This window comes from Homo sapiens, chromosome 7 (assembly GCF_000001405.40).
Source record: "Homo sapiens chromosome 7, GRCh38.p14 Primary Assembly".
Classification (NCBI taxonomy): domain Eukaryota; kingdom Metazoa; phylum Chordata; class Mammalia; order Primates; family Hominidae; genus Homo; species Homo sapiens.
Window position 1 is genome coordinate 56,892,834 of NC_000007.14, and position 9,526 is coordinate 56,902,359.

Consider the following 9,526-nt stretch of genomic DNA (forward strand, 5'->3'; position numbering starts at 1 on the left):
CTGGGTGTGCACAGTGTGGATGGCAGGGCTGTGCCTGGGCTGCCGGTACACATTTACCAGGTGTGTGCAGTGTGGATTGCAGGGCTGTGCCTGAGCTGCAGGTGCACATTTGCCAGGTGTGTGCAGTGTAGATTTCAAGACTCAGAGAGGAGACAGCCAGTTCCTGTCCTGCCTGAGGGTCGGGCAGGGGTAACCATCTAAGACCCTGGGCATCTTCCCCAGCCTGGGCGATTCTCCAAGCCATCGCTTTTCAGCAGGACTGCCAGCAGGGCATCTGTCATGTTCGTCCACCAGCATCATAGCCTGTTTTGGGGAGAAGTAGTATTTCCACACCCCACTCAGGCTGATAGCATTTGAGGAAGAAGAGAAAGAGGGGCTTTTGGGTTTTCTGGTTTCCTTTCTGAAGGTGAACCTGTCACTGGTGAAAAAAATGGTGTTTTTTTTTTTTTTTTTGGACCAAGAAAGCGGCCTTGGCCTCCAGTGCCAGAGCAGGCTCTGGCTGGGGCAGAGGATCCTGGAGAGGATGCTATGCTGTGTTGGGCGGGAAGTCACTTCCTCCCTCCAAACATAGGTGTCCAGTTCTCTCTTCCTCCCTTTGTCAAGTAGGAGCTGTTATGCCAAGGGCAGGCAAGAAACAGGCCCCTGAGTGCTCAGTTTCATGGCCGGGCTTTGAAGCAGGAGTTTCCTCTTGGCCCTCAGGCCACACTTCTGTAGGGTGCCTCTGCAGCATTTCCCTCCTTGGGCAGGAGCCTGGCTTGCAGAGGACAGACAGCAGGAAGAATGCTGGCCTCCCCCATGCCACCAGATCCTGTCCCAAGGCCAGCAGGAGGGGAGGGGAAGCAATCTGATCACTGGAGCAGGAGGGGCCAGCTCTGGAGTCCACATGGCTGTGGCTGGGCTGTGCTTCTAGAAGCAGCAGCTCTTGCCGCCTCTCTCTAGGGATTTTTGTCTTTCTTTTAAAAACTTTTTTTTAACCTTCTTTTTTAAGACAGGGTCTTGCTATGTTGCGCAGGCTGGTCTCAAATTCCTAGGCTCAAGTGATTCTCCTGCCTCAGCCTCCCAAAGTGATGGGATTGCAGGCATGAGCCAGTACACCTGGCTGAATTTTATCTTTCCTACCAGCCTTTTCATATGAGCTGAGCCTGCAGGCTGTGCCTAAGCATAGCCCTTTGAACTTGATAGACTGCGAGCTTGGAAAGACTCCTTTGCAGTCTGAGTCCTCTGGCAAATACACTAGCTTGGTTAAGTGGACTTTTCTTTGATTGATGTTGGCTGCATCTAGAAAGCAGGATTGCCACCACTCCTTGAAGCACCCTATGATTAGAGTGTCTGAGTGCTGCTTCTGCTCTGCTGAGGCTGTTGACAAATTGCCTGAAAAGACCCCCTGTCAGAGGATGATGGGCTCGTCTGCAGCAGGGCCACTTGCAGCCCAATTGCTTCCAAGATTAAACCTTTCCAAAGCGGTCTGCACTGCCCGGTACACAGTTGGGCCACTGGTTTAAGATTACAGATGAAGGTACTGAATTGGATCTCATTTAAAAATATATAGGTTTTAAAGTTTGAGGGCTCAGGAAGAAAATGAAATCCTTTGTCCCAAACCAGGGCCTGGTTTTGTCAGTGGTGCGTGCACGTGTGTGTGTGTGTGTGTGTGTGTGTGTGTGTGTGTGTGTTCTAAAGAGACCCTAGTGGCCGGACACCATGGCTCACATCTGTAATCCCAGCATTTTGGGAGGCTGAGGCAGGAGGATCACCTGAGGTCAGGAGCTCAAGGCCAGCCTGGCCAACATGGTGAAACCCTGTGTCTACTAAAAATACAAAAATTAGCTGGGTGTGGTAGCAGGCAACTGTAATTCCAGCTACTTGGAAGGCTGAGGCAGGAGAATCGCTTGAACCTGGGAGGCAGAGGTTGCAGTGAGCCGAGATTGCACCATTGCACTCCAGCCTGGCTGACAAGAGTGAAACTCTGTCTCAAAAAAAAAAAAAGAGAGAGAGAGAGACCCTAGTTTAGCTCTTTTGGAAAGCAACTGCCCTGCATTAGGCTTGTTTCTGGATGCTAGCACTAAAATAGCAATCAGACTCTGCATGCCTCTCACAGGCAACTTGTCCACAAAACCACTTCCAAATGTTTTCCCAAGTGCATGTGTCTGACCCAGGCTTCTTTCTCACCCACCTCCTGTGGAAGGAAGATTGCATCTTGAGTTCTAAAGATTTTTAAACAATTTCATACTTGCAGACCAATGTGTATATTTTATGTCCATTGACATTGGAAAACATTCTTGTCTAATCAATCACTCTGGCCCAGCTTTAGATTTCTCCAGAAATAACCAGATCCTGTGGGCACCTTGAGGCTGCAGCCCATTGTGCAGAATTGCTTAATGTGTACCTCATCTGGTTTTTGCCTTCATGCTATTGTTGGTCCCTCAGTAAAATGTTCATTTGGTTGGGTTTTATGTGCAAGAATGCTGGTGGGTTGGGTGAGTGTTAGTATTTAAGGGAAGGCCTGTTTTGTTTTCTTTTGTTTTGTTTTGTTTTTAAGAGTTAGGATCTCACTTTGTCACCTAGGCTGAAGTGCAGTGGTGCAATCATAGCTCACTGCAGCCTCAAACTCTTGGGCTCAGGGGACCCTCTCACCTCACCCTCCCTGATTAGATGGGACTACAGTGGGTGCACATCACCATGTCCAGCTAATACTTTTTATTTTTATTTTTGTAGAGGTGGGGTCTTGCTTTGTTGCCCAGGCTGGTCTTGAACTCATGGGCCTCAAGTAATCATCTCACCTTGGCCTCCCAAAGCATTAGGATTACAGGCATGAGTCACCATGCCTGGCCTGATTTGCTTCTGACTAGTGTCCTGCATTTATTAAAGACCCTAGATCACTCCTGGTGTTCTAAAAATAACCAAGCCCACCTATCTGCCTTCTAGACATGGGCTGGAGGGCCTGCCACGAGCATCCTTGGGTATTCCCAATAGCCCTAATTAACCCAGGCTGACTTACAATTCCTCCCTCTCTTAACCAAAATTATGTTGAATTTTTGTGTTCCTTGTCTTTTAACTGAAAAGCTCTTGTTTATTTGTTATTTAATTTAATTTTATTTTTTTGAGACAGACTCTCGCTCTGTTGCCCAGGGTGGAGTGCAGTGGCATGATCTTGGCTGACTGCAACCTCCGCCTCCCGGATTCCAGCGATTCTCCTGCCTCTGCCTCTAGAACAGCTGGTGCTACAGGAGCCTGCCACCACACCAAGCTAATTTTTTGTATTTTTAGTAGACACGGGGTTACACCATGTTGGCCAGGCTGGTCTCGAACTCCTGACCCCAGGTGATCCACTCGCCTCAGCCTCCCAAAGTGCTGGGATTACAGGCATGAGCCAACACGCCCGGCCCTGTTTGGCATTTTTAATGCCCTATTACCATTATTTGCACTTATTCTTTTGCAGAATTTCAGCACCAGGTGGTGAGGATGTTCCTTCTGGCCATGCACGTGCAGGACACACAACAGGCACTTGATAAGTGTGTGCTGAGCAAAACTCACTTCTTCCTTCTGGCCACATTCATCACAGGTGTACTCAAAGCAGCAAGAGCTTGCCCCAGCTCAGAAGTGCTTAGTTGCTAATTAGCTGTTTTCACAAAGATACTGAAATTGGAGACATCAGTGTTCATCCTTTAGCCATAGCATTGGAAAAATATGAATGATTTACAACTGTGACTAAAAAGGTGTTTAGAGAACTGTTCTATGTAAAGCAAGACAGTAAGCTGGGCGTGGTGGCTCAAGCTGGTAATCCCAGCCGAGGCGGGTAGGTTGCTTGAGCTCAGGAGTTCTGGACCAGCCTGGGCAACATAATGAGACCCCATCTCTACAAAAATATTTAAAAAAAAAAAAAAAAAGCTGAGTGTAGTGGTGCATGCCTGTAGTCCCAGCTACTTGGGAGGCTGAGGCAGGAGGATCTCTTCAGCCCGGGAGGTGGGGGTTGCAGTGAGCTGTGGTTGCACCACTGCACTCCAGCCTGGGCATCAGAGTGAGACCCTGTCTCAGAAAGAAACAAAAAATATATAGTGTGTGGTTGCAACTTTTGCACATCACCTGGAGTTCTGGGCAAGGGGAGAGGAACTGAGGTTGGTCACTTCTTGCATGGATGGCTTTGGGACTTGGGTGGGTTTTTTGCTCCACAGTACTTTTCACCCTGTATTTTCTCATAGGTTTTGCCCCACTAGAGCTTTATGTAGAGATTGGGGCTCTCAGGTCCCATATGGAACTTACTAGCGAGAGTTCCAAGTGGCAAGTCCCTTTCCTGCCCCGGCATTGGTACAAGGCTGCCTTGCTGTTGGACCACAATACTCCAAGAGTCCAGCTCCCCTGTTTGCTCAAGTCTGAAGCAAGGTCCCACTTGGGAGTTACAGATCAGAGTCCTTTGATGTCAGAGCATCACAGCGGAATTCTAGGCCACCCCGGCAGTGAGTGCTCTCTGCAGATCTGCGAGCGGTGCTGGTCCGCCCCACCACCTCCACCCCTAGCACCGTATCTGTGTGATTAAAGCTGTGACCTCCCCCTTGGGTGGAAGCCTTCCAGTCCTTGGAATGAGAATCTTAGCTGCTTCTGTCTGCAGAGGATCTCTTTGTGGGATTTTTTTTTTTTTTTTTGAGATGGAGTCTTATTCTGTCACCCAGGCTGGAGTGCAGTAGCGTGATCTTGGCTCACTGCAACCTCTGCCTTCTAGGTTTAAGTGATTCTCCTGCCTCTGCCACCTGAGTAGCTGGGACTACAGGCACCCACCACCACACCCGGCTCATTTTTATATTTTTGGTAGAGACACAATTTCACCATGTTGGCCAGGCTGATCTCAAACTCCTGACCTCAGGTGATCTGCCTGCCTCAGCCTCCCAAAGTGCTGGGATTACAGGTGTGAGTCACCGTGCCTGGCCCAGAGGGACTCTTGGAGAGAGGCTCCTTGATCCCACAAGGGGCAGGGGTCTCTGGCAAGGCACAGCCCATCCCACCAGGCCCAGCACCTGGTGCTGACCACCCCCCCAACCCACCCCACTGTTCTGTTGTCAGAATGTGTTGTTTTCTTGTACATAAACAATATGACAATAAAGGGAGGTTACTCAGTAAAGGGAGCTGCTCAGAAGGTGACCAGAGCAGGGCTGGAGAGCCAGCCTGGCATTCACTGTTTGCTTTATTGCAAGGCCACTTGGAATTAGAGGGGATCTCAGATTCGAGTCTGAGCTGGAGGTAGGAAGGGGCCCCTGCACCTTGGATAGAACTCGGGCTCTCCCCGGGGTTAGGGGCCTGGGCTCTGGTGCAGCCCCACCACTTCATTAGGTCACCCCAGGCAGTTTCAGCCTCAGATTTCTCATCCCCGGGATGGCATGTTTGCAGCCTCGTGGCCTGCTATGGGCATTGAATGAGATGTGTTTGTGAGGCAGTAAGGCAGCCAAGATGTCACTTACATGAAACTTACATTGCAACCCCAGTTTTAGCATGATGTGGGATATTAAGTATTACCGTCTCCTTGAATACTCCCAGTCAGCAGTTCGCTTCATGTTACAAGATGTTTAGTTCTAGGCTGGGCCTGTAATCCCTGCACTTTGGGAGGCCAAGGTGGGAGGATCACTTGAGGCCAGGGGTTCAGAACAACCCTGGGCAACATAGTGAGACCCCTGTCTCTACAAACTATAAATATTATATATATATAACATATATATAAAATATAAATATATAACATATATATAATATAAATATATAAAATATAAGGCATGACCTTCCTAAAGCAGACCCTGGTCCGGTCTCTGTACACCTTTTGCATAGTTGGTGGCCATCCAACCCCCTCTCAGGCTGTGGCTGTGTTCCTCCAGGGGCCTCGGTGGTCCAGGAGCCTGGCCAAGCTGGCTCCCTCTCCCACGTGGCTTACTCCATCAGCTTCACCTTGTTTATATCTCTGGATCTCCTCTTTTTTCTTTCTGTTTGTGTCTTGTCTCTTTCTGGAAAGCCCCTTACCTCTACTCACCCCTCTGTGTGCAAACATCACCCAGTTCAGGTGCCCCCAACCCAGCCAGGAGGGGTTTTCATTCCTTAGGCTCCCATCGTAGGCTAGCTGTGCCTGTCTTTCAGCACATTTCATTTCCTGCCTGGTATTTCAGTCGTGTGTGTGTCTTCATTCTCCTCATGTAAGCCTTGAGGTGCGGAGTGCATGCCTGTTCACCTCTGCCCTCTCTAGAGGTCAGAATATGACCAGTGTTCAGCCCCCATCGGAAAGAGCCCAAGAACCCCAAGTCCCCAGCCTGTTCTGCTCTGCTGTGGGCCCACATGCCTGGAGACGAGGCACCTTTCCTTCCCTGACATTGACTAGTACAGGATACAGGGTAGAACCCAAACATTGAGCAATTGTCAAACTGCCTACTTATGATGAACAAAATAGCTTTTCAGAAGGTGAGATCACAGTACGGTTATGGTGAATCCTGACTCGCACCTCAGGTCTTTCATCAGGATTTTTGTTTTTCCTGGTTGGCACAGATGTGCGTGGAGCAGATCAGAGGCCTCTCAGGTTCTTGATCACTCATGGCAAATTCAGGCCCACCAGGAGCGAGGTGAGAGATCCAGACAGCAGGGGAGAGAAGGGAGGTGCAGGGAACCCTCAGCCCCACATGCTCCAGCAGGTCTGTGTGATTAACCTGAATTGCAGCATTCAGAGGCTCGGCCCACCAGCCATGGCGGTTCCAGATGAAATGCAGCTTAGAAGGCAGTGTGGCATAGTAGCTTTGGTGCCAGCTGCTCCCAGAGTTTGGATTGTAGCCAAATGGCATCAGGTGCAATGTACAACCTCTGGGAGTTCCAGATTTCCTATTTACATGACAGGGATGATTCCATACCTGAAGGGCTGTTTGGAAGCATCTAGAAACAAGCACAGTGAAGTGGCTGTCATGACACTGGACGCACAAATGATGGTGTTAGGATCCCTCCACGGATGTAGCCAGGTGACACCCCTCACCTGGGCCGCACAGCACCCTAATGTATGCACTGAAGAAAGGCTGCATGGGGCTGCAAAGTAGCTCATTTCTAAGAACGCCAAAGAAATTGCTCAGTCCAGACCAGGGAGCCCAGCCTCTCTTTTAGAGGTGGGATCTTGCTATGTTGCTCAGACTGTTCTCAAACTCCTGACCTCAAGTGATCCTCCCACCTTGGCCACCCAAAGTGCTGAGATTCCAGGCATGAGCCACTGCACCCAACCTGTAGCCTCTTTCTACAAGTAAAATGATTCAAGTGAGTTCAGGCCCATGCCAGGTCTCAAACCCTGGCACTCTGTCCATCTTCCAGCTTCCACTCCTTCTCTCTCATTACAGGATCTCCTGTCCTTCTGCACACCAGGGTGGCAGACAGCTTGGCCAACTGCCTTGGACTTCTTTATCTCTAGCACATGTTCCTGTAAATTTAAACCTCCTCAGTTGGGTAAAAGCTTTGGAAATACTAACATTCCTTTTGTGCTGCCTAATGTTCCTGCCATTTAAAATATTAGCAGGCATAATTTCAGTAAGCCTTCATGACTGGCATGCGTCACTTCTTAATCTCTGGTTGGTACATGTTAAAATATAAAGACAGCCTCTCCAGGACACATGGGGAGCTTGCAAACGAAAGGTTGCTCTGACCTCTCAGAAGAGTGGACTTCTTAAAAAAGAAAGAGTGAGGTGGGCAGCCTCCCTTGCTGCCAGTGCTAGATTCTGTGATATGAAACAGCAAGGTGCAGCTGGATGCGGTGGCTCACACCTGTAATCCCAGCACTTTGGGAGGCTGGGGTGGACAGATCACCTGAGGTCAGGAGTTCGAGACCAGCCTGGCCAACATGGTGAAAACCCTTCTCTACTAAAAATACAAAAAATTAGCCGGGCATGGTGGTGCATGCCTGTAGCCCCAGCTACTCAGGAGGCTGAAGCAGGAGAATCACTTGAACCCGGAGGTGGAGGTTGCAGTGACCCAAGATCATGCCACTGTACTCCAGCCTGGGCGACAGAGCAAGAAGACTCCTTCTCAAAAAAAAAGAAAAAAATGACTTGCACATGTGCTTATGTAAGAAAGTGAGATTCACTGAGTGAACCATACATAGCATCTCTTAAAACTGTATCATGGAATTCATGATCAGGCATCTCCTCTATATCAGGCAACAAACAGGTGATATACACACTTGTATCTTCCCAGAAAGGGAAGGAAGGTAGTAGAGATGACATCGTCAGTTACTTGTTTGTATGTGTGTGTGCATATTTAACTTATTGTGTGTCTGTGTGCATAGGGACATGTCACTGCATGTGAGGGACATTTATAGGATCTGAGCTCAGGTGCCCCTTCCCCAAAGGAGGCTTCTCTGCTGTTTAGGGACAGGTCTGCCTCTTTATTTCTTTCTCTTTCTTTTTTTGGAAGCAGGGTCTCACTCTGTCACCAGGCTGGAGTGCAGTGACATGATCACAACTCTCTGCAGCCTTGACCCCCCAGGCTCAAGCAGTCCTCCCACCTCAGACTCCCAAGTAGCTGGGATTATAGGCACATGCCACCATACCTGGCTAATTTTTTTTTTTTTTTTTTTTTAAGACAGAGTCTTGCTCTGTCGCCCAGGCTGGAGTGCAGTGGTGTGATCTCGGCTCACTGTAAGCTCTGCTTCCCGGGTTCACGCCATTCTCCTGCCTCAGCCTCCTGAGTAGCTGGGACTACAGGTGCCCGCCACCATGCCCAGCTAATTTTTTTGTATTTTTAGTAGAGATGGGGTTTCACTGTTGTCTCGATCTCCTGACCTGGTGATCCACACACCTTGGCCAACCAAAGTGCTGGGATTACAGGCGTGAGCCACCGCGCCCAGCCCTGGCTACTTTTTAAAAATTTTTTGTAGAGATGGGATCTTGCTGTGTTGCCCAGGCTGGTCTCTACCTCCCAGGCTCAAGCGATCCTCCCTTAGCCTCCCAAGTAGCTGGGACTACAGGCACGTGTCACCACACCCAGCTAATTTGTTTGATTTTTAATAGAGATGGGGTCTTGCTATATTGCCCAGGCTGGTGTCAAGCTCCAGAGCTCAAGCAATCCTCCCACCTCAGCCTCCCAAAGTGCTGGGATTACAAGCTCATGCCCCTGTGACCGGCCAGGTCTGCCTCTTAAACTCCCTTCACACCATGTGCCCCTTCTGCAACACCGGCCACAGGTAAGTGTGGTGGTGATTTGACTCATGTCTCACCCGCCACTCAACAGAAGCCCAGGAGGCACAGTAGCCTGTGGTCTCTGCTCATGATTGAAAGAGCCCCTGAAACAGGGCCAGAAGGCCCAAAATAGCCACTCAACAAACATCTGTCGAATAAATGGAAGTCATATGCGTCATTCCAAGTCTTTGCTATTCTTCGAAAAGTAATCATACTGACTCCAGGCTACAGTGAGCTATGATCACGCCATTGCACTCCAGCCTGGATGACAGAGCAAGACCTTGTTTCTTAAAAAGAAAATAATTATATTGACTACCTAATATGTGATTGTATTGCTTTAGTAGAATTCTCTAATA